This window comes from Homo sapiens, chromosome 19 (assembly GCF_000001405.40).
Source record: "Homo sapiens chromosome 19, GRCh38.p14 Primary Assembly".
Classification (NCBI taxonomy): domain Eukaryota; kingdom Metazoa; phylum Chordata; class Mammalia; order Primates; family Hominidae; genus Homo; species Homo sapiens.
Window position 1 is genome coordinate 10,457,330 of NC_000019.10, and position 23,727 is coordinate 10,481,056.

At 52.2% G+C, this 23,727-nt stretch overlaps 1 protein-coding gene across 13 annotated transcripts in view, besides 4 other annotated features; it reads left to right on the top strand.

Annotated features, from left to right (window-relative positions):
- The window catches only part of PDE4A (phosphodiesterase 4A), a 52,859-nt gene extending 40,557 nt beyond the window's left edge, over window positions 1-12,302 (top strand). For 6 of the 13 annotated variants that reach the window (XM_047438910.1, XM_017026865.3, NM_001111308.1 and 3 more), the window contains 8 exons: window positions 550-773; window positions 2,071-2,169; window positions 2,266-2,430; window positions 3,675-3,774; window positions 4,197-4,351; window positions 4,548-4,670; window positions 6,464-6,646; window positions 9,558-12,302. In XM_047438910.1, the coding sequence (XP_047294866.1) occupies window positions 550-773; window positions 2,071-2,169; window positions 2,266-2,430; window positions 3,675-3,774; window positions 4,197-4,351; window positions 4,548-4,670; window positions 6,464-6,646; window positions 9,558-10,292 (1,784 nt within the window). In that variant the 3' untranslated portion in view covers window positions 10,293-12,302. Of the gene's footprint in view, window positions 1-358; window positions 452-549; window positions 774-2,070; window positions 2,170-2,265; window positions 2,431-3,674; window positions 3,775-4,196; window positions 4,352-4,547; window positions 4,671-6,463; window positions 6,681-9,557 lie in introns of those variants that run through there. The other 7 variants (NM_001243121.2, NM_001111307.2, NM_006202.3 and 4 more) reach the window with 3 other exon arrangements.
- Window positions 3,862-4,041: a silencer, noted in NCBI's record as "silent region_10076". NCBI's record gives its function as "represses an Ori minimal core promoter by ATAC-STARR-seq in GM12878 lymphoblastoid cells {active_cell/tissue: GM12878}" and the evidence as "EXISTENCE:reporter gene assay evidence [ECO:0000049][PMID:35858748]".
- Window positions 4,003-4,727: an enhancer, noted in NCBI's record as "H3K4me1 hESC enhancer chr19:10572008-10572732 (GRCh37/hg19 assembly coordinates)". NCBI's record gives its function as "activates a minimal SCP1, AML or CMV promoter by ChIP-STARR-seq in naive H9 embryonic stem cells {active_cell/tissue: H9 hESC(naive)}" and the evidence as "EXISTENCE:reporter gene assay evidence [ECO:0000049][PMID:30033119]".
- Window positions 4,232-4,371: an enhancer, noted in NCBI's record as "active region_13972". NCBI's record gives its function as "activates an Ori minimal core promoter by ATAC-STARR-seq in GM12878 lymphoblastoid cells {active_cell/tissue: GM12878}" and the evidence as "EXISTENCE:reporter gene assay evidence [ECO:0000049][PMID:35858748]".
- Window positions 21,914-21,983: an enhancer, noted in NCBI's record as "active region_13973". NCBI's record gives its function as "activates an Ori minimal core promoter by ATAC-STARR-seq in GM12878 lymphoblastoid cells {active_cell/tissue: GM12878}" and the evidence as "EXISTENCE:reporter gene assay evidence [ECO:0000049][PMID:35858748]".

The following is a 23,727-nucleotide window of genomic DNA, read 5'->3' on the forward strand; positions in this document are numbered from 1 at the left end:
CAGGTCACAATGGGTGACCTTGGCTCAGCTCTGGAAGCCCCTGAAAGCTCAGGAAAAGGGTTCCTGGGGCTGTCCCCCAGGCAGGCTGGTGCCAAGGTGGGCGGGGGGGGGGGGGGGCAGGGACATGGAGCCAGAGACCACCCTTCCCTCTCTCTTCCCAGTGATGCCACCCCCCACACCAGCACTCTTGGCCCCCATGCTGGGATCTTCCCCACCCAGAAAGGTTCCCTGGGTGTTCGGGGTAGGCAGCGGCTCTCCCTGGCATCCCCACCTCGCTTTCTGACTTCCCACACCACTCTCCATCCATATCTGATGATCAGACCGGGGCCATCCCAGAGCCCTGGGCCCCCACTCCAGCCCACCACCTCCTGGAAGATTTCCCACATCCCCTCTGGTTTCCTGACTCTGAGTAGCCAGCGGCATCACAGCTGAAAGGGTTCTGCCGTTTCGGGTGAGCCTTCCCCGTACGTGGTAGTGGGCTGAAGAATAAGGGAGCCTCCAGGGGTGGAAGGGTTGTTCACACTTGTTCCTGCTCCCCATCTTCTGCAGACAAACAGAATGAAGTGGAGATCCCATCACCCACGATGAAGGAACGAGAAAAACAGCAAGCGCCGCGACCAAGACCCTCCCAGCCGCCCCCGCCCCCTGTACCACACTTACAGCCCATGTCCCAAATCACAGGGTTGAAAAAGTTGATGCATAGTAACAGCCTGAACAACTCTAACATTCCCCGATTTGGGGTGAAGACCGATCAAGAAGAGCTCCTGGCCCAAGTGGGTGGGGGCTCAGTAGGGGCAGGGCTGGAGGGGGTGGTCTCCTGGGACCCTGAGAAGGACTGGGCATTGGGTTATGTCTTAGGCCAGGTTTCCCAGAAGCAGAGCTTGAGATGAGGGTTTGAGCCCATCTTGAGGCAAGCATGCTGGCTCTTTGTACCTCTGTATCATTCATTGCTTGGGGGCCGTCCCCAGGGCTGGACGTATCACCTCTTGCATGTAGCTCCTGTTGGGACTAGTCTTCTGGAAATGCAGGCAGCTGTGAGCCTTAGCAGGCAACACTCCCAGCTGCAGAGGGATTGGTGTACACAGCAGTGACGCTAATCCAGACTGTGCCCCCATAGTGTCCCCAACAGTCCAGACCGGTGTTTCACTCCTAGCTCTTCCAGGGGACAGCGGCAGTGGAAGTGATCCATCTTTGGTGGCTCACTCAGCTGAGGCTTATTGTAACCCTCTTTGAGCCACCTCCTCCAGTGAATCTTCCATTCAGTCACCTGGCCTTTAGTTATTTATTTTTATTTATTTATTTATTTTGAGATGGAGACTCGCTCTGTTGCCCAGGTTGGAGTGCAGTAGTGTGATCTCGGCTCAAGGCAACCTCCACCTCCTGGGTTCAAGCAATACTCCTGCCTCACCCTCCTGACTAGCCGGGACTAAAGGCCTGTGCCAGCACACCTGGCTAATTTTTGTATTTTTAGTAGAAATGGGGTTTCACCATGTTGACCAGGCTGGTCTCGAACTCCTGGCCTCAAGTGATCCACCCGCCTTAGCCTCACAAAGTGCTGGGATTGCAGGCGTGAGCCACTGCACCTGGCCAACTGGTGTTTATTAAGCAGCTACTATGTGCTGGCCCTTTTCTGAATTTTGGAGAGACATGGAAAATAAGCCCTTCTTCCTTTCTCCCCTGGGGCTCGTGAACAGCTTAGCTAAGAGGCTGAGCTGTGCTGGGGCCAGTCGTGCTGGGTTCCTATCCTAGCTTTGCCACTTATGAGCTGCATGATCTTGGAGAAGTCACATCGCCTCTCTGAGCCTTGGTGCCTTCACCTGCCAAACGAGATCAAGTGCTTAGAGCAATACTTGGCAGATCATAAGTACTCAAAAGACAGTGGCTGTGATTGCTTTCGCTATTTTGCAGCCCAGTAGGACGAGGGCAGTACATTCTGTGCTGTTGAACCTGTCACCCACTGGGTGAGCAATAATGGTGCTTCCTTCAGACCAAGGCTTCAAACTCCTAGGAAATGTTCTCCAGGGCCCTGAGCCTTACAGGCTTCTGACCTCTGGCCTCCGTCTCCACCAGGAACTGGAGAACCTGAACAAGTGGGGCCTGAACATCTTTTGCGTGTCGGATTACGCTGGAGGCCGCTCACTCACCTGCATCATGTACATGATATTCCAGGTGATGGGGACAGCTGGGAGTGGGCCCGGGTGAGGGGCTCATAGCGGGGCGCTGGAGGCCGGTGGAGGTCACCACCCTGCCCCTGCCTGCTCTCAGGAGCGGGACCTGCTGAAGAAATTCCGCATCCCTGTGGACACGATGGTGACATACATGCTGACGCTGGAGGATCACTACCACGCTGACGTGGCCTACCATAACAGCCTGCACGCAGCTGACGTGCTGCAGTCCACCCACGTACTGCTGGCCACGCCTGCACTAGATGTGAGTGACTGCCCTGTGAGTGACCGTCCCCATCTCTCTTTGTGACTGCCTCTTCAGCCTCCTGTGTGTCTCTCTGACCCTGTGTCTCTGACCTCCATCTCTCTTTGACGCCATTTCTCTCTCTTTTTTTTTTCTTTTTGAGACGGAGTCTTGCTCTGCCACCCAGGCTAGAGTGCAGTGGCACGATCTCAGCTCACTGCAACCTCTGCCTCCCGGGTTCAAGTGATTCTCCTGCCTCAGCCTCCTGAGTAGCTGGGACTACAGGTGCCCACCACCACGCCTGGCTAAGTTTTTATAATATTTTTAGTAGAGATGGCGTTTCGCCAAGTTGGACAGGCTGGTCTCAAACTCCCAACCTCGTGATCAGCCCGCCTTGGCCTCCCAAAGTGCTGGGAGTAGAGGCGTGAGCCACTGTGCCCGGTCAAAAATCTTATTTCTTAAAAAAAAAAAAGTTTTAGTCCAGGTGCGGTGGCTCACACCTGTAATCCCAGCACTTTGGAAGGCCAAGATGGGTGGATCACCTGAGGTCGGGAGTTTGAGACCAGCCTGACCAACGTGGTGAAACACTGTCTTTACTAAAAATACAAAAATTAGCCGGGCGTGGTGGGGCACGCCTGTAATCCCAGCTACTCCAGAGGCTGAGGCAGGAGAATCGCTGGAACCCAGTAGGTGGAGGTTGCAGTGAGCCAGGATTGCGCCACTGCACTCCAGCCTGGGCAACAAAGTGAGACTTCATCTCAAAAAAAATAAAATAAAAATTGCGGGGGGCTAGGCACGGTGGCTCACACTTGTAATCCCAGTACTTTGGGAGGCTGAGGCAGGTGAATCACCTGAGGTCAGAAATGGCCAACATGGCGAAACCCTGTCTCTACCAAAAATATTTTAAAAATTAGCCGGGCGTGGTGGTGGGAGCCTGTAATCCCAGCTACTAGAGAGGCTGAACCAGGAGAGTTGCTTGAACCCAGGATGGGGAAGTTGCAGTGAGCCAAGATCGTGCCACTGCATTCCAACCTGGGCAACAAGAGCAGAACTCTGTCTCAAAAAAAAAAAAAAAAAAGAAAGAAAATTAAATTTGAGACAGGGCCTTGCTATGTTGCCCAGGATGGCCTCGAACTTCTGGCCTTGAAGTCCTAGGCTCAAGTGATCCTCCCATCTCAGCCTCCTAAGTAGGTGAGACAAACAGGTGCTCACCACCATGCATGGCTTCAACTCTGTTATTCTAACATCCGTGTCTCTGCTCCCAGGCAGTGTTCACGGACCTGGAGATTCTCGCCGCCCTCTTCGCGGCTGCCATCCACGATGTGGATCACCCTGGGGTCTCCAACCAGTTCCTCATCAACACCAGTGAGTGGCCCTCGCCAGGGGCGGGGTTTGCTGAGTTGGAGGCGGTGTTGGCCAGGCTGGGGGCGGAACTAACTAGGCTGGAGGAGGGGCTGGCTGGCCTGGGGGCGGGGCTGGCTGGCCTGGAAAGGGGATGGCCGGGCAGGAGGCGGGGCTGGGGGCGGGGCTGGCTGGGCTGGAAAGGGGATGGCCGGGCAGGAGGCGGGGCTGGCTGGGCTGGAAAGGGGATGAACGGGCAGGAGGCGGGGCTGGGGGCGGGGCTGGCTGGGCTGGAAAGGGGATGGCCGGGCTGGGGTAGAGCTGACTGGGCTGGAGGCGAGGCTGGCCGGGCTGGGGAGGGGTTAGCTAGTTGGGGGCGGAGCTGGCCCTCCTGCGGTTGGAGCTGCACACGTGGGCCCTCCCCTGACCTCCGGGCTGGGCTGCAGATTCGGAGCTGGCGCTCATGTACAACGATGAGTCGGTGCTCGAGAATCACCACCTGGCCGTGGGCTTCAAGCTGCTGCAGGAGGACAACTGCGACATCTTCCAGAACCTCAGCAAGCGCCAGCGGCAGAGCCTACGCAAGATGGTCATCGACATGGTGGGCGGGGCTGGGGCGGGACGGAGCGGGAAAGGAAGCCTAGGAGTCGAGGGCTTTGGGGAGGAGTGGGTCTGAGTCCCAGAGGAACCCTCAACCTGGACAGAGCGGGCGGCTTCTACCTGGTGAAAACTTCAGAGGCCCGGGTCAGTCTGGGGGGCGGGTGTCAGCGGCCCCAGTGACGCCCCCTTGCCCGCAGGTGCTGGCCACGGACATGTCCAAGCACATGACCCTCCTGGCTGACCTGAAGACCATGGTGGAGACCAAGAAAGTGACCAGCTCAGGGGTCCTCCTGCTAGATAACTACTCCGACCGCATCCAGGTGCCCCCACGCCCCATCATCTAAGGAGGGAGGACACTCCCCCAGCCACACCTTTAGGTCTGGGTAGCTAACTGCCCCTTCCTCAGCCTCTTTCTCCCAAGTGGCCCATCTTCCTGTGTCCTTCTTTCTTTTTTTTTGTTTGTTTGTTTTTGAGACGGAGTCTTGCTCTTGTTGCCCAGGCTGGAATGCAATGGCGCCATCTTGGCTCACCACAACCTCCGCCTCCCGCCTCCCGCCTCCCGCCTCCCGGGTTCAAGCGATTCTCCTGTCTCAGCCTGCCGAGTAGCTGGGATCACAGGCATGCGCCACCATGCCCAGCTAATTTTGTACTTTTAGTAGAGAGGGTTTCTCCATGTCTGTCAGGCTGGTCTCGAACTCCCGACCTCAGGTGATCCCCCCCCGCCCCCCGCCTTGGCCTCCCAAAGTGCTGGGATTACAGGCGTGAGCCACCGCGCTCAGCCCTCTTTTTTTAAATTTATTTTTATTTACTTTGTATGTTTAAAGGAGAGTTGGGGTCTCACTATGTCACCCAGTCTGGTCTCAAACTCCTGAGCTGAAGTTATCCTCCTGTCTTGGCCTGCCAAAGTGCTGGGATAGCTGGCGTGAGCCACCACACCTGACCTCTTTCTGTCTGTCCCCTTCTCCATCTTCACTTTCCAATCCCATCTCTCCTTCCCATCTCTCCCACCATTTCCTCCCATTTCCCCCAATTCCTCCTTTCTTCTCATCAACTCCTTCCAGGTCCCCTGTCCCTCTCCCTAACCATCTTCTCTTCCCTCACCCCCCTTCCGACTCCTCCCATATTTTCTCCATCTCCCACACACCTCTCCCCGTTACCTCCTCTGTTCTCTGTTCTCCCCACCTTCTCTCCCTACTCCCTCCCTCCCCAGGTGGGAGATAAGAAAGCCTGAAAGCTGGGTGTGGTGGCTCACGCCTATAATCTCAACTACTCCAGAGGCTGAGGCAGGAGGACTGTTTGAGGCCAGGAGTTTGAGACCAGCCAGAGCAACATTGCAAGATCCTCTTTTCCTTTCCTTTCCTGTCCTGTCCTGTCCTGTCCTTTCCTTTCCTTCTTCTTTCTCTTTCTTCTTTTCTGTTTTTGGTTTTTTTTTTTTGAGATCGGGTCTCTCTGTCACCCAGGCTAGAGGGCACGGATCTTGGTTCCCTGCAAACTCCGCCTCCTGGGCTGCAGCAATTCTCCTGCCTCAGCCTCTAGCGTAGCTGGGATTACAGGTGCCTACCACCAGACCTGGCTAATTTTTGTATTTTTAGTAGAGATGGGGTTTCGCCATCTTGGCCAGGCCGATCTCAAATTCATGACCTCAAGTGATCTGCCCACCTTGGCCTCCCAAAGTGCTGTGATTACAGATGTGAGCCACCGCGCCCAGCCCCATTCTTTTTTTTTTTTTTTTTTTTTTCTGAGATGGAGTCTCACTCTGTCGCCCAGGCTGGAGGGCAGTGGCTTGATCTCGGCTCACGGCAACCTCCGCCTCCTGGGTTCAAGCAATTCTCCTGCCTCAGCCCCACTATAGCTGGGATTACAGGCATGTGCCACCGTGCCTGGCTAATTTTTTTGTATTTTTAGTAGAGACAGGGTTTCACCATGTTGGCCAGGCTGGTCTTGAACTCCTGACCTCATGATCCACCCGCCTCAGCATCCCAAAGTACTGGAATTACAGGCGTGAGCCACAGTGCCTGGCCCCCATTTCTTAAAAAAGAAGGAATGCCTGAGGTCTCAGACTGGGACACAGGCATAGCCTCTGAAGTTTCCCCTGTGCCCCAACCCCATGCAGGTCCTCCGGAACATGGTGCACTGTGCCGACCTCAGCAACCCCACCAAGCCGCTGGAGCTGTACCGCCAGTGGACAGACCGCATCATGGCCGAGTTCTTCCAGCAGGGTGACCGAGAGCGCGAGCGTGGCATGGAAATCAGCCCCATGTGTGACAAGCACACTGCCTCCGTGGAGAAGTCTCAGGTACAGGCTCGGGGCATTGATGGACGGGCACAGGGTGAGTCTCCCCAGCCCATCTTGGCCTGAAGTTCTGAGGCCCAGGAGCTCCTCCCCTGCCTTTCCACAATGCCAAGTTGTCCTGTTTTTGGTTTTGTTTTGTTTTTGAGACGGAGTCTCATTCTATTGCCCAGGCTGGAGTACAATGGCACGATCTTGGCTCACTGCAACCTCCGCCTCCCAGGTTCAAGTGATTCTCCTGCCTCAGCCTCCCAAGTATCTGGGATTACAGGCGTGCACCACCATGCCTGGCTAATTTTTGTATTTTTAGTAGAGATGGGGTTTCACCGTGTTGGCCAGGCTGGTCTTGAACTCCTGACCTTGTGATCTACCCGCCTTGGCCTCCCAAAATGCCAGGATTACAAGTGTGAGCCACTGCGCCCAGCCTCCTGTTTTTCTTTTATTTAGGTTTTATTTATTTATTTTGAGACCGGGTCTTGCACTGTTGCCCAGGGTAGCATGCAGTGGTGTGATCATAGCTCACTGCAGCCTTGAATTCCTGGGCTCAAGCGATCTTCCTGCCTCAGCCTCCAGAGTAGCTGAGAATACAGGTGCACACCACCACACCTAGCTAATTTTTTAAAATTTTTTGTCGAGACAGGGATTTGCTATGTTGCCAGACTTGTCTTGAACTCCTGGGCTCAAACCTTGGCCTCCCAAAGTGCTGGGATATGGGGTGAGTCACCATACCCGGCCTTGTTTTCATTTTTCTTTTTCTTTTTTTTCTGAGACAGGGTCTCATTGTGCCACCCAGGCTGGAGTGCAGGGGCGTGATCTTGGCTCACTGCAACCTCCACCTCCTGGGCTAAAATGATCCTCCACCCCCGCCTCCAGAGTGGCTGGGACTATAGGCGTGCACCACCACACTCGGCTAATTTTTGTATTTTTCATGGAGATGGGGTTCTGTCATGTTGCCCAGGCTGGTCTCGAACTCCTGGGCTCACTCAGTCTGCCTCCCTCAGCCTCCCAAAGTGCTGGGATTACAGGGGTGAGCCACCCTGCCTGGCCCCTCCCCACTTTATATCCTCCCTGGTGAAACCCAACCATCTGAGTTTGATGTCTCTACCCGTCCAGACCTGAGTTTCTAGGCCTCAGCACTGTTGACATTTGGGTGATCATTTTTTGTGCTAGGAGCTGCCGTGGGTATTACAGGATTCTTAGCAGAATCCCTGGTCTCTCTCTACCCACTAGATGCCAGAAGTATCCCCCTCCTCATTTTTTTTTTTTTTGAGACAGAGTTTCCTTCTTGTCACCCAGGCTGGAGTACAGTGGTGCAGTCTCAGCTCACTGCAACCTCCGCCTCTCGGGTTCAAGCGATTCTCCTGCCTCAGCCTCCCGAGAAGCTGGAATTACAGGCATGCGCCACCACGCCCAGCTAATTTTGTATTTTTAGTAAAGATGGTGTTTCTCCATGTTGGTCAGGCTGGTCTCGAACTCCCGACCTCAGGTGATCCGCCCACCTCGGCCTCCCAAAGTGCTGGGATTACAGGCATAAGCCACCGCGCCCAGCCTCCCCCTGCTCATTTGTAAAGACCAAAAATGCCTCCAGACATTGCCAAATGTCCCCTAGGTGTGCAAAATCACTCACACACACCCCATGGAAAACTAATTTTATACACTTTATAACGTAGTTATGTTCATAGGCAACTTCATAGCAATAGTTTGTGGCTTTAGCTTTTTTTTTTTTTTTTTTTTTTTTTTTTTTTTTTGAGATGAAGTCTCACTCTCGTTCCCCAGGCTGGAGTGCAATGGCGCGATCTTGGCTCACTGCAACCTCTGCCTCCCGGGTTCGAGCCATTGTCCTGCCTCAGCCTCCTGAGTAGGTGGGATTACATGTGCCCACCACCATGCCCTGCTAATTTTTGTATTTTTAGTAGAGACAGGGTTTCACCATGTTGGCCAGGCTGGTCTTGAACTCCAGACATCAGGTGATCCACCCACCTCAGCCTCCCAAAGTGCTGGGATTACAGGCGTGAGCCACTGCATCCGGCCTACTTTTTTTTTTTTTTCCTGAGACGGAGTCTCGCTCTGATGCCTAGGCTGGAGTGCAATGGCACAATCTCGGCTCACTGCAACTTCCACCTCCCAGGTTCAAGCAATTCTCCCTGCCTCAGCCTCCCGAGTAGCTGGAATTGCATTTAGCTTTTTAAAAAATAGGCCAGGTGCAGTGGCTCACGCCTGTAATCCCAGCACTTTGGGAGGCCGAGGTGGGCTGATCACAAGATCAGGAGATCTAGACCATCCTGGCTAACACAGTGAAACCCCGTCTCTACTAAAAATAGAAAAATTAGCCAGGCACGATGGCGGGCGCCTGTAGTCCCAGCTACTCGGGAGGCTGAGGCAGGAGAATGGCGTGAGCCCGGGAGGCAGAGGTTGCAGTGAGCCGAGATCGAGCCACTGCACTCCAGCCTGGGTGACAGAGCAAGACTCCGTCTCAAAAAAAAAAAAAAAAAAGTGTGTGTGTGTGTAAACTGCATCAATGTATACATTTTTTTGTTTTTGTTTTTGAGACGGAGTCTTGCTCTGTCACCCAGGCTGGAGTGCAGTGGTGCGATCGCAGCTCATTGCAATCTCCGCCTCCCAGGTTCAAGCGATTCTGTCTCAGCCTCCCAAGTAGCTGAACTACAGGCATGCACCACCACAACCAGCTAATTTTTGTATTTTTGGTAGAGATGCGGTTTCACCATGCTGGCCAGGCTGGTCTCGAACTCCTGACCTCAAATGATCCGACTGCCTCAGCCTCCCAAAGTGCTGGGATTATAGACATGAGCCACCATGCCCGGCCCATAAGCATGTTTTTCATTTCATTAGCTCCCATAATGTGGTGGTATCATCCACCCCATAGGCCGCCCATTTATACTTTCTTCCCCTCCACCAGGTGGGTTTTATTGACTACATTGTGCACCCATTGTGGGAGACCTGGGCGGACCTTGTCCACCCAGATGCCCAGGAGATCTTGGACACTTTGGAGGACAACCGGGACTGGTACTACAGCGCCATCCGGCAGAGCCCATCTCCGCCACCCGAGGAGGAGTCAAGGGGGCCAGGCCACCCACCCCTGCCTGACAAGTTCCAGTTTGAGCTGACGCTGGAGGAGGAAGAGGAGGAAGAAATATCAATGGCCCAGATACCGTGCACAGCCCAAGAGGCATTGACTGCGCAGGGATTGTCAGGAGTCGAGGAAGCTCTGGATGCAACCATAGCCTGGGAGGCATCCCCGGCCCAGGAGTCGTTGGAAGTTATGGCACAGGAAGCATCCCTGGAGGCCGAGCTGGAGGCAGTGTATTTGACACAGCAGGCACAGTCCACAGGCAGTGCACCTGTGGCTCCGGATGAGTTCTCGTCCCGGGAGGAATTCGTGGTTGCTGTAAGCCACAGCAGCCCCTCTGCCCTGGCTCTTCAAAGCCCCCTTCTCCCTGCTTGGAGGACCCTGTCTGTTTCAGAGCATGCCCCGGGCCTCCCGGGCCTCCCCTCCACGGCGGCCGAGGTGGAGGCCCAACGAGAGCACCAGGCTGCCAAGAGGGCTTGCAGTGCCTGCGCAGGGACATTTGGGGAGGACACATCCGCACTCCCAGCTCCTGGTGGCGGGGGGTCAGGTGGAGACCCTACCTGATCCCCAGACCTCTGTCCCTGTTCCCCTCCACTCCTCCCCTCACTCCCCTGCTCCCCCGACCACCTCCTCCTCTGCCTCAAAGACTCTTGTCCTCTTGTCCCTCCTGAGAAAAAAGAAAACGAAAAGTGGGGTTTTTTTCTGTTTTCTTTTTTTCCCCTTTCCCCCTGCCCCCACCCACGGGGCCTTTTTTTGGAGGTGGGGGCTGGGGAATGAGGGGCTGAGGTCCCGGAAGGGATTTTATTTTTTTGAATTTTAATTGTAACATTTTTAGAAAAAGAACAAAAAAAGAAAAAAAAAAGAAAGAAACACAGCAACTGTAGATGCTCCTGTTCCTGGTTCCCGCTTTCCACTTCCAAATCCCTCCCCTCACCTTCCCCCACTGCCCCCCAAGTTCCAGGCTCAGTCTTCCAGCCGCCTGGGGAGTCTCTACCTGGGCCCAAGCAGGTGTGGGGCCTCCTTCTGGGCTTTTCTTCTGAATTTAGAGGATTTCTAGAACGTGGTCAGGAATAGCCATTCTAGGCGGGGCTGGGGCCAGGGTGGGGGGCAGTCACTGTGGGAGGTCCCAGCTCCAGCCCCCCTCTGGTTTGCTGCCTCCTCTCCCCTCTAAAAAAGTCTTCCGCTTGATTTTGCACAATCCCGGCGATACTCCTGGCGATACTGACTAGAAAGTCAGGGAGCTGGGGGAGCTGTTCACTTTAGGATACGGGGGTGGTATGGAAGGGAGCGTTCACACCGCCAGCCTCGGGCCTGGGATTTGAGGAGGGCCCTAGACCTCCTCCACTCTCCATCCCCTTTCCCTTCCACTTTGGGTTCACTTTGAATTTTCTCCGTTTTTTGGGGCAGTGGCTCTGATCCACTCACCCCCCCGCCCCCCGCCCCACTTCTAGCTGCTTCTCCTCTTGTTTCTGCCTTAATAATTCCCACGGCCACAGGCAAGGGGGTTGCAGTGGCCGCCTGCACCTTGGATGAGGCAGGGCCAGGCGCCCAGAACCCCCATCCTGGCCGCACCCCCCTTTCCAGGGTCCTCCGGACCCCACCTTCCACACTCTGATCACAGCCCCCCTACCTTTTGCCCTAGGAGGAAGCAATAATGGTGTATACCCTCATTCTCATTCCTGGGCAGCCCTTCCTTCCACCCTGGCACCAAAATAATTTCTCCTCCATCCGTACCTTGCCTAGCCTCTCCCTCTCCCCCAGCTAGTCCCTGAGCAATACGGCAGACAGATGCAAGACCATTTTTCTCCAAGCCATGGGGGACTGTTTGGAAGGAAAGCCCCCTCTCTCCCTCCTCCCCTCGCCCTCGGCCTGGTTCTGCAGCTGGACCGACCTCATTCATCGCCTGCCCCCTACCCAATTCTGAGCACACGGTACTGTAGCCCCCAGTTCCTCCCTAGCCTTCCATCCCTCTGTCCACCCCAGGGGGAGGTAACCCCGCACTCACACTCCCTTGATGCTGTCTGTACAGGGTTCATATTTTGTAGCGAAAGTCGTTTTTGTCCCAGCCGGCGATCGGAGTGGGCCTTTTCTTTCTTTTTGTTCATTCTTTACCTTTTTTTCTTTTCTTTCTTTCTTTTTTGTACATACTGTAAGGTTGGTTTGTAAATTATTCTACGGAGGCAAAAAGGGAAAATAAAAACTTGCCCTTCCCTGGCTGACCCAGTCGGGAAGGTAGGGAAGGAGGTCTCCCGTTGGGAGAGTCTCTGTTCCTGCTGTATTATACAAACTGTACCATAGTCCTGGGAAAAGGGTGGACTCACCGCTGTTGTTTTATGGGAAGTCGTGTCATCCTAGGGGTTGGGGCTGGGCAGAGCCTGTCCCCTCCCCCCTTCTCCAGGAGCCAGGGGGTGACTGGAGAGACAGACCCACCCCCAAGCAGGGCTCCTCTCCCCAGGGTGAGCACAGGACCTCTGTAAGCTGCTTGTGTATTGTCCACTTTGACGATCAGTCATTCGGTCCGTTGATCAATAATCCTTCGATCTTGTCTCCAATTAAACCGAGGCTTTCACCGATTTTCCTGGCTGATGTGGCTTCATTCCCCATGTTGTTTGTTGAGGTGTCTCCCCGCTGCACCGTCTGCTTGGGTTGGGGAGGGAGTTTCTGTCCCTACTTGTTCCCCAGCAGACGGAATTGTGAAGTAGAGCTTGGACAGAGACATTCCCCAGCCTGAGTCAGGTTATAAAATGGAAATTCAAGCCATGCAGGGTTTGTTTTGTTTTGTTTTGTTTTTGAGATGGAGCTTCCCTCTTGTTGCCCAGGATGGAGTGCAATGGCGCCATCTCGGCTCACTGCAACCTCCGCCTCCCGGGTTCAAGCGATTCTCCTGGCTCAGCCTCCCGCGTAGCTGGGATTACAGGCGCCCGCCACCATGTCTGGCTAATTCTTTGTATTTGTCGTAGAGATGGAGTTTCACCATGTTGGTCAGGCTGGTCTCAAACTCCTGACTTTGGGAGATCCACCCGCCTCAACCTCCCAAAGTGCTGGGATTACAGGCATGAGCCATTGCACCCAGCCCCATGCAGTATTTAAAAGGGAAAAGATGTGGCTGGGCGCGGTGGCTCACGCCTGTAATCCCAGCACCTTGGGAGGCCGAGGCGGGCGGATCATGAGGTCAGGAGTTTGAGACCAACCTGGCCAATATAGTGAAACCCCGTCTCTACTGAAAAATAGAAAAATTAGCCGGGCGTGGTGGTGTGTGCCTGTAGTCCCAGCTACTTGGGAGGCTGAGGCAGAATAGCTTGAACCCAGGAGGCGGAGGTTTCAGTGAGCTGAGATCATGCCACTGCACTCCAGCCTGGGTGACAGAACGAGACTTTGTCTCGAAAAGAAAAAAAAAAAGGCAAAAGACTACCCAGTGCAAAGGCTCATGCCTGTAATCCCAGTGTTTTGGGAGGCCGAGATCAGCGCAGGAGTTCAGGACAAGCCTGGGCAACATAGTGAGACCCTGTCTCTATTAAAAATTTTAAAAATTGGTCAGGCACGGTGGCTCATGCCTGTAATCCCGGCACTTTGGGAGGCTGAGGCGGCTGGATCACCTGAGGTCAGGGGTTCGAGACCAGCCTGACCAACATGGTGAAACCCTGTCTCTACTAAAAATACAAAAATTAGCTGGGCATGGTGGCGCATTCCTGTAATCCCAGCTACTCAGGAGGCTGATACAGGAGAATTGCTTGAACCCGGGAGGCAGAGGTTGCAGTGAGCCGAGATTGTGCCACTTGTACTCCAGCCTGGGTGACAGAGTGAGACTCTGTCTCAAAAAATAAAAAAAAAATTTTAAAAAGTTAGCCAGTGGTGGTGGACCATCCCTGTGGTCCCAGGTACTTGGAAGGCTGAGGCAGGAGGATTGCTTGAGCCTGGGAAGTAGAGGTTGCAGTGAGACGTGCCCATGCCACTGCACTCCAGCCTGGACAACAAGAGCAAAAACTCTCTACCAAAAAAAAAAAAAAAAAATTAATGGCATGGTCTCTCTCTGTTTTCCAGGCTGAAGTGCTGTGGCACAATCAGCTCCCTACAGCCTTGAACTTCTGGGTTCTAGAGATCCTCCTGCCTCACCCTACCTAGTAGCTGGGATTACAGGTGGATGCCACCACACCTGGCCTAACCCACATACTTGAATGCTGTTAATTCCACTCACAGAGCCTAATTTTCCCACATTTATTAGGCTTTTTTTTTTTTTTTTTTTTTTTGGTGGCAGAGTGAGACTCTATCACCCAGTCTATAGTGCAGTGGTATGACATGATCATAGTTCACTGCAGCCTCAACCTCCTGGACTTCAGTGATCTTCCTGCCTCAGCCTCCCATGTAGGCAGGACCATAGGCGGGTGCCACCACGCCCGGCTAATTTATTTTTTATTTTGTAGAGACAGGGTCTCGGTTTGTTGCCCAGGCTGGTCTCAAACTCCTGGGCTCAAGCAATCTTCCCACCTTGGCCTCCCAAAGTGCTGGGATTACAGGCGTGAGCCACCACACCCAGCCCTGTTAGGCTGATTAACAAGCCCCTGGTTTTACCAATAGGTTTCTGACATTCATTATACTAATGAGCAAAACTTCTGAATATAGATAAAGATATGGATAGTGGAAATGTTTGTGATTTGGACCTTGATTAGAATACTGGCTGCCTCGGCTGGGCGTGGTGGCTCACTCCTGTAATCCCAGCACTTTGGGAGGCCGAGGCAGGTGGATCACCTGAGGTCAGGAGTTTGAGACCAGCCTGACCAACATGGTGAAACCCTGTCTCTACTAAAAATACAAAAATTACCTGAGCGTGGTGGCACGTGCCTGTAGTCCCAGCTACCTGGGAAGCTGAGACAGGAGAATTGCTTGAACCTGGGAGCTGCAGGTTGCAGTGAGCCCAGATTATACCACTGCACTTCAGCCTGGGCGACAGATCGAGACTCCGTCTCAAAAAAAGAAGGAAAAAAAAAAAAGAATACTGGCTGCCTCTGGGGCTTAATAAACCAGGATGCACATGAATACATACAGTGCTTGAGTAGGTAGACACAAGGGGGCACTAGACATATATTTTTATACAATGCATGTTCTGAAACATGAGAGCATCTTGCGTGGGTCCAAGGAAAAGTCCACCTGCCTACTCTGCCATTTGTTTCTAGTCCAGGGACTCTGAGATTTTTTTCTATTTTTCTTTTCTTTTCTTTTTTTTTTAGACGCGGATTGGTTCTGTCACCCAGGCTGGAGTGCAGTGGCATGATCAGGGCTCACTGTAGCCTAGACCCTCTGGGCCCAAGTGATACTCCCACCTTAGCCTCCTGAGTAGCTGGAATGATAGGTGTGCACCACCAAGCCCAGCTTTTTTTTTTTTTTTTTTTTTTTGGTAGAGATGGGGATCTCCTTATGCTGATCAGGCTGGTCTTGAACTCCTGGGCTCGAGAGGGAATCTGATTGGTGATCTTGGGGGCGATCTCTCTGAGCTTCACTTGTTTCTTCTACTAAATGGGGATATATTAGCTGAGTGTAGTTGTGCGCACCTGTAGTCCCAGCTACTCCGGAGGCTGAGGCAAGAGGATCACTTGAGCCCAGGAGGTCGAGGCTACAGTGAACTGTGATTGTGCCAGTGCACTCTAGTCTGGGTGACAGAGTGAGACACTGCCTCAAAAAAAAAAAAAAAAAGTAAATAAATAAAATGGGGCCAGGTGTGGTGGCTCACACCTGTAATCCCAGCACTTTGGGAGGCTGAGGCAGGCGGATCACCTGAGGTCAGGAGTTAGAGACCAGCCTGGCCAACTTGGTGAAACCTTGTCTGTACTAAAAATACAAAAATTAGCCAGGCGTGCTGGCGGGGATCTATAATCCCAGCTACTGGGGAGTCTGAGGCAGGAGAATCACTTGAACCTGGGAGGCAGAGGTTGCAGTGAGCCAAGATCGCAACATTGCACTCCAGCCTGGGCAACAAGAGTGAAACTCCATCTCAAAAAAAAAGAATTAATTATTTAAATAAAATGGGATAATGACAGTTACAGAGTTAAACAGTTGCTCTATAGTACGGTTTGGCTAGTAAAACTTTCTTTAAAAAAAAAAAGGTGTAGAGATGGGGTCTCACCATGTTACATGCCCAAGCTGATCTCCTCGAAGTCCTGGGCTCAAGCAATCCTCCTGCCCCAGCCTCCCAAAGTGCTAGGATTACTAGCACTTTGACCCTAAAATCAGGTGTGAGCCACTGTTCCCGGCCTCAGTAAAACTTTCTGTGGTAATAGGAATATTCTTTATCTGTGCTATCCAACAAGTCAGCAACTAGTCACATGTGGCTATTGCGCCCTTGAAATGTGGCCAGTTTTAATTTCCGGCCACAGTGGTGGCCAGAAGCTACTGTATTGGACTTAAATTCTAAAAATTCAGCCAGAGTTAATGGAAAATATTTAGGCTATACAAAGAGTTGTTTGACAACAGCTGTAAAGATTCACAGAAGATAGAACCTAGAAAAGTGGGAGGAGAGAAGCAGAGCTCGAAAAATAGGTAGAAGTTTTCAGGGAATCTGAACTTTGCAAGAAGTGAAAAGGAGACACAGACATTTTCCCCAGGGACTTTCAAATGGAGGCAGAGTCGGGAAAAGGGCTTTGGGCTGGGGGTCAGGAGGTGACAGCACTAATTCTAGCCTGCAGTGGACTGTGGGTGACCTTAGACGAGATTTCTCCTTCCAGGCCTCAGTTTCCCCAAGTGTAAAAGGGTGGGCTGGGTGCGGTGGCTCACACCTGTAATCCCAACACTTTGGGAGGCCGAGGCAGGCAGATCACTTGAGGTCAGGAGTTGGAGACCAGCCCAACCAACATGGTGAAACCCGCGTCTCAACTAAAAATACAAAAAGATTAGCCAAATGTGGTGGCACATGCCTGTACCAGCTACTCAGAAGGCTGAGGCAGGAGAATTGCTTGAACCTGGGAGGTGGAGCTTGCAGTGAGCTGAGGTCAAGCCACTGCACTCCAGCCTGGGCGAAAGAGCGAGACTCCGTCTAAAAAAAAAAAAAAAAAAGACCAGGTGTGGTGGCTCACACCTGTAATCCCAGCACTGTGGGAGGCCGAGGCGGGTGGATCACCTGAGGTCAGGAGATCAAGACCAGCCTGACCAATATGGTGAAACCCCGTCTCTACTGAAAATACAAAAATTAGCTGGACGTGGCGGAGGGCACCTGTAATCCCAGCTACTCGGGAGGCTGAGGCAGGAGAATCGCTTGAACCCGGGAGGTGGAGGTTGCAATGAGCTGATATCATGCCCCTGTACTTCAGCCTGGGTGACAGAGTGAGACTTTGTCTCAAGAAAATAAAAAAATTTTTTTAGGCCGGGCGCGGTGGCTCACACCTGTAATCCCAGCACTTTGGGAGGCCGAGGCGGGCGGATCACAAGGTCAGGAGATCGAGACCATCCTGGCTAACACGGTGAAACCCCATCTCTACTAAAAATACAAAAAATTAGCCAGGCAAGGTGGCAGGCGCCTGTAGTCCCAGCTACGCGGGAGGCTGAGGCAGGAGAGTGGCGTGAACCCCGGGGGGTGGAGCCTGCAGTGAGCCGAGATCATGCCACTGCACTCCAGCCTGGGCGACAGCAAGACTCCGTCTCAAAAAAAAAAAATTTTTTTAAAAAAAGGGCAGATGTGATGTTCGGAACACCTCCTGTATTGGGACAGACTGAAAATATGGGTCAAAAATGGCAGTGATGGCCGGGTGCGGTGGCCCACGCCTGTAATCCCAGCACTTTGGAAGGCCGAGGCCGGTGGATCACCTGAGGTCAGGAGTTCGAGACCAACCTGGCCAACATGGAGAAACCCCGTCTCTCTAAAACCCCAAAACTTATCCAGGCATGGTGGCACACACCTGTAGTCCCAGCTACTCAGGAAGCTGAGGCAGGAGAATCGCTTGAACCCGGGAGGCAGAGGTTGCAGTGAGTGGAGATTGTGCCATTGCACTCAAGCCTGGGCAACAAGAGTGAAACTCTGTCTCAAAAAAAAAAAAAAAAAAAAAAATGGCAATGACACATGACCATCAGCTGGCTCTCCAGGGTGGGGAATTCACCTTTTTTCCAGCAAAGGTGAACAAGGGCAGTGGGGCACAGCAGGGAGGCCACGTAATCTGAAGGAGGCCAGGGGAACCTGGGGAAGGAGTGGAGTCGGTTCATTATCTGAAATTGACATCAAGGCTTGCAGGCTTCCTGGTACTGGTCTTGAGCAAATGGCTCCGCCTCTCCCAGACTTTAGAGGGCTCTATCCTGTGCTAAACTTTTTAAGATTATCTCATTGACTCTCCAGCTGTTCTTGAGATATGGACTAGCATTGGTTCCATTTTGCAATTGAAGAAACTGAGGGCTGGGATGAGATCGCACAATATGGAGAAAATTCGAGGAAATAAGACGAGGACCTCGCTTCACCCAGTGCCTGTTCAACAGTGATAGCTGTCCCCATACTTTTATGTTATTTCAGGTGCACGAAATCTTGAGATGTAGGTAGTATTTCTCCCTCTCTAACAGCATAAAAACGTGTCAGTGCCGGCCAGGTGTGGTGGCTCACGCCTGTAATCCCAGCACTTTGGACGTGGTGGCGGGCACCTGTAATCCCAGCTACTCGGGAGGCTGAGGCAGGATAGTCCCTTGAACCTGGAAGGTGGAGGTTGCAGTGAGCTGAGATCATGCCACTGCACTCCAGCCTGGGCAACAAGAGTGAAATTCCATCTCAAACAACAACAAAAAAAAGTCAATGCAAATCAAAATAAGACATTTATTTTTTATTTTCTTTTGCAAAGCATTTTCACAGCTCATTTCTGTTCGTGCAAGCTAGAACATACAGCTTTCCAGGAATGGTCTGACAATATTTATCAAAAACATAACCAGCTGGGCGCAGTGGCTCTTGCCTGGAATCTCAGCACTTTTGGAGGCTGAGGTGGGAGGATCATTTAAGCCTAGGAATTCAAAACCAGCCTGGGTGACATAGTGAGACATGTCTGTCTGTCTTTCTTTCTTTCTTTCTTTCTTTCTTTCTTTCTTTCTTTCTTTCTTTCTTTCTTTTTCTTTCTTTCTTTCTTTCTCTCCTTCCTTCCTTCCTTCTTTCCTTCCTTCCTTCCTTCCTTCTTTCTTTTCTTTCTTTCGAGACAAGATCTCACTCTGTTATCCAGGCTCCAGGCTGCAGTGGCTAATTGCAGACTCAACCTCCTTAGGCTCAGGTGATCCTCCCAACTCAGCCTCCCAAGTAGCTGGTATTAGAAGCATCTGCCACCATGCCAGGCTAAATTTTTTTTTTTTTTTTTTTTTGCTCTTTTGTAGAGATGGAGTCTCGCCATGTTGCCCAGGCTGTTCTCAAACTCCTGGACTCAAGCGATCCTCCTGCCTCGCCCCCCCAAAGTGCTGGGATTACAGGTGTCAACCATCGCACCTAGACCTGAGACATGTTTCTAAAAAAAATTTTTTTTTTGAGACAATGTTTCACTCTTGTTGCCCAGGCTGGAGTGCAATGGTGTGATCTTGGCTCACTGCAACCTCGGCCTCCCGGGTTCAAGCGATTCTCCTGCCTCAGCCTCCCAAGTAGCTGGGACTGCAGGCACCCACCACCACGCCCGGCTAATTTTTTTATTTTTAGTAGAGATGGGGTTTCACCATGTTGTCCTGGCTGGTCTTGAACTCCTGACCCCAGGTGATCCGCCCGCCTTGGCCTCCTAAAGTGCTGGGATTACAGGCGTTAGCCACAGTGCCCGGCCAAAAATTTTTTTTTTTTTTTAGACGGAGTTTCGCTCTTGTCGCCCAGGCTGGAGTGCAATGGCACGATCTCAGCTCACCGCAACCTCTGCCTTCCGGGTTCAAGCAATTCCCCTGCCTCAGCCTCCCAGGTAGCTGGGACTACAGGGATGCGCCATGACGCCCGACTAATTTTTGTATTTTTAGTAGAAACAGGGTTTCACCATCTTGGCCAGGCTGGTCTCGAGCTGCTGACCTCATGATCCACCCGCCTCGACCTCCCAAAGTGCTGGAATTACAGGCATGAGCCACCGTGCCTGGCCAAAAAATATTTTTTTAAAGATGCAACTGCTTGGCCAGGCACGGTGGCTCATGCGTGTAATCCCAGTACTTTGGGAGGCCAAGGTGGGAGGATCACCTGAGGTCAGGAGTTCAAGACCAGCCTGGCCAACATGGTGAAACCAACCTCATCTCCACAAAAATAACAAAATTAGCCAGGCATGATGGTGGGTGCCTGTAATCCCAGCTACTCCAGAGGCTGAGGTGGGAGAATCGCTTGAACCCATGAGGTGGAGGGTGCAGTGAGCCGAGATCGTGCCGTTGCCCTCCAGCCTGGGTGACAGAGTGAGACTGTCTAAAAAAAAAAAAAAAAAAAAGATGCAAAGATGCAAATGCTCAAATATCTAAAGTAAAAAATGTCTCTATTCTCCTTGGTCAGAATAGTGAAGAATTATTAATAATCCAGGTGACCACTATTAAGGAGTTATTAAATTACTTTTCACCTATATGATGGAATAATATGCAACCATTAAAAATGATCAAGTGGGCTGGGCGCAGTGACTTACGCCTGTAATCCTAGCACTTTTGGAGACCGAGGCTCGTGGATTGCCTGAGCTCAGGAGTTCGAGACCAGCCTGGGCAACACAGTGAAACCCTGTCTCTACTAAAATACAAAAAATTAGACGGGCGTGGCAGTATGCGCCTATAGTCCCAGCTACCCGGGAGGCTGAAGCAGGAGAACTGCTTGAACCCAGGAGGCCGAGGTTGCAGTGAGCCGAGATTGTGCCACTGCACTCCAGCCTGGGCAACAGAGCAAGACTCCGTCTCCAAAAAAAAAAAAAAAAAAAAAAAATCAGGTGGATCTATGTTTATTGAAATGGCCAGAGATATTCACAGTCAGAACAGCAGGTTTCAAAATATTCTGTATTATATGATCCTACTGAAAAGTAACATGCAGAGAAAAGGCAGTTACCCATCCAGATATTCACAGTGTCTCCAGTGGTGGGATTAAGAAAGATCTGTGTCTTCAAACACTGCGGAAGGCCGCAGGGTCCTCTGCCTAGGAAAACCAGAGACCTTTGTTCATATGTTTATCTGCTAACCTTCTCTCCACTATTGTCCTATGACCCTGCCAAATCCCCCTCTCCGAGAAACACCCAAGAATGATCAATAAATACTAAAATAATTTTTTAAAAAAGAAAGATCTGTGTCTTGTGTAGTCTTTGACATTTTCTGAACATTTTGCAATGAGCATATATTACATTCATTGATGATCGATTGATTGGGACAGGGTCTCATTTGTCACCCAGACTGGAGTGTAGTGGTGCAATCACAGCTGACTGCAGTCTCGACCTCTCAGGCTCAAGCAATCCTCCTGCCTCAGCCTCCCAAATAGCTGACAGGCACCTGCCCCTGCCCCCAGCTACTTAAAAAAACTTTTTGTAAAGATGGGTTCTCACTATGTCGCCCAAGCTGGTCTCAAACTCCTGGGCTCAAGCGATCCTCCTGCCTCAGTGTTGGGATTACAGGCGTGAGTCACTGCACCCAGTCTATATTACTTTTATAATCAGAAAGTTATTTTATAATCAGGGGAAATGAAAAACATCTGGTATTTATTATCTGGGAGGCACAAAAACGTGGTGGATAAGCACACAGATTCTAGATTCAGCTTTCCTGGATTTTGGCTCCAACTCAGCCAAGTTAATGGCTGGGTTAGTCTGGGCAGGTTACTGGCCAAGGGGGGAAACCATGCCTCAGTTTCCCCCATTGTAAAATCCAAATAACAATAGCTTAGGTTTACCGAGAGGTTGTTATGTGACAAGCACTGTTTGTTTTACGTAAATCATCGAGGTAAATGCTCACAACAGCCCTATTAAGTAAGTACTATTATTATAAAAAGGGTCACAGGCATAGGCAGGGAAGGAGGTAGGGCTGGGAGTCGGAGCCCGTGAGCGCCCCCTAGAGTAGGGCTAAGGGGCGGGGGGGCGGGCTACAGCAGAATAGGGACCCAGCGCACTCGCAGAACGAGGGGGGAGGCGAGGCGAGAACGAGCGGGAGTTTTTTTCCCGACTACGATTGGCTGGTGTAATTGTCATCACTTGAAAAGGCAGCCAATGAGAGGCGCGGTCGCCTCGCTGGTGGAAGCCGAGAGCTGAGCGAAGTGAGGCGTGCGGAGCCAAAGGCGCTAGAGCGATAGCGGGAGCCCCGGACCCCGAAGCGGTTGAGGGGATCCAGGCCTCACAACGTCTTGAGAGTGGCCCCAGCGTCGTTCCTAGTCTCTTCGGCAGACCCCAGCGTCGTCCTTCTTTTCCTGAGAATATCCTGACACCAGTCGCCCGTTCCAGAAGGGGACACTTGGCGTCATCCCTTTTTTTCTGAGTGACCCCAGAGTCGTCCTCACTTCCTGAGGGGGATCCTGGCGTCATCCGCCCTTCTTGAGGGGACCCTGCTGTCACTACCCTGTCCTGATGGCCAGCACCGCATTGTCCTTTCTTCCCGCGGGAAACCCGGACATCATCCCCTCTTTCTGGCGGGGACCCCCATGCCATTATCCCCTCCTGAGGAGACCCCAGAGCCAGAGCCGTCCCCCCTTCCTCAAGGCTCCCCAGCGTTGTTTCTTCTTCCCGAGAAGGGGCCTGGTGCTGTTCCCCGTTTCCAGAGTGTTTCCTATCGTTGTCCTCCCCACACTCAGAAGGCATCTGTCATCCCCCCTTTTTCTGAGATCAGTCCCTTCCTCCTTTCCAGTTTAAGGCCGACCCCTGCAAACGCTTCTGTGGCACCCATAGATAGAAGGCCCAAAGACCCCCCTGTGCTCCCTTGCCCCCAATTGAGCAGACGGGAAGGCAAAAGACTCAGCTCACCCCATGAAGATGGGAAGAAACCGAAACTAGCTGATGAAGGAACTCACTATGCCACATGAGAAATCATTTAGGGCCGGGCGCAGTGGCTCACGCCCATAATCCCAGAACTTTGGGAGGCCGAGGTTATCATATAAGATCAGGAGTTCGAGACCAGCCTGGCCAACATGGTGAAAACCCGCCTCTACTAAAAAATACAAAAATTAGCCGGGAGTGGCGGTATGGGCCTGTAATCCCAGATACTCAGGAGGCTGAGGTAGGAGAATCGCTTGAACCCAGCAGGTGGAGGTTGCAGTGAGCCGAGATCACACCACTGCATTCCAGCCTGGGCAACAGAGTGAGACTCCATCTCAAAAAGAATAAATAAATAAAAAGAATTTGCCAGTCAACAACAATTTTTTTTTCTTGCCTCCCGGGTTCACGCCATTCTCCTGCCTCAGCCTCCCGAGTAGCTGGGACTATGGGTGCCTGCCACCACGCCCGGCTAATTTTTTGTATTTTTAGTAGAGACGGGGTTTCACCGTGTTAGCCAGGATGGTCTCGATCTCCTGACCTCGTGATCCGCCCACCTCGGCCTACCAAAGTGCTGGGATTACAGGTGTGAGCCACCGCGCCCGGTCAAATACAAAATTTTAAAACAACTTTTATATATACTCAGTTAAGGCAGACAAAACAAGTCTCTGATTATTTCATTCACTGAGGCAATATTAATTTTTGAGACACTTCCACACAGATTTACATTTTAAAAAAAATGTCAGGTGCGGTGGCTCACTCACACCTGTAATCCCAGCACTTTGGGAGGCTGAGGCGGGCGGATCACGAGGTCAGGAGATCGAGACCATCCCGGCTAAAATGGTGAAACCCCGTCTCTACTAAAAATACAAAAAATTAGCCGGGCGTAGTGGCGGGCGCCTGTAGTCCCAGCTACTTGGGAGGCTGAGGCAGGAGAATGGCGTGAACCCGGGAGGCGGAGCTTGCAGTGAGCCGAGATCGCGCCACTGCACTCCAGCCTGGGCGACAGAGCGAGACTCCGTCTCAAAAAAAAAAAAAAAAAAAAAAAAGGAAACTTAAGGGCCAGGCACGGTGGTTCACGCCTGTAATCCCAGCACTTTGGGAGGCCGAGGTGGGCAGAT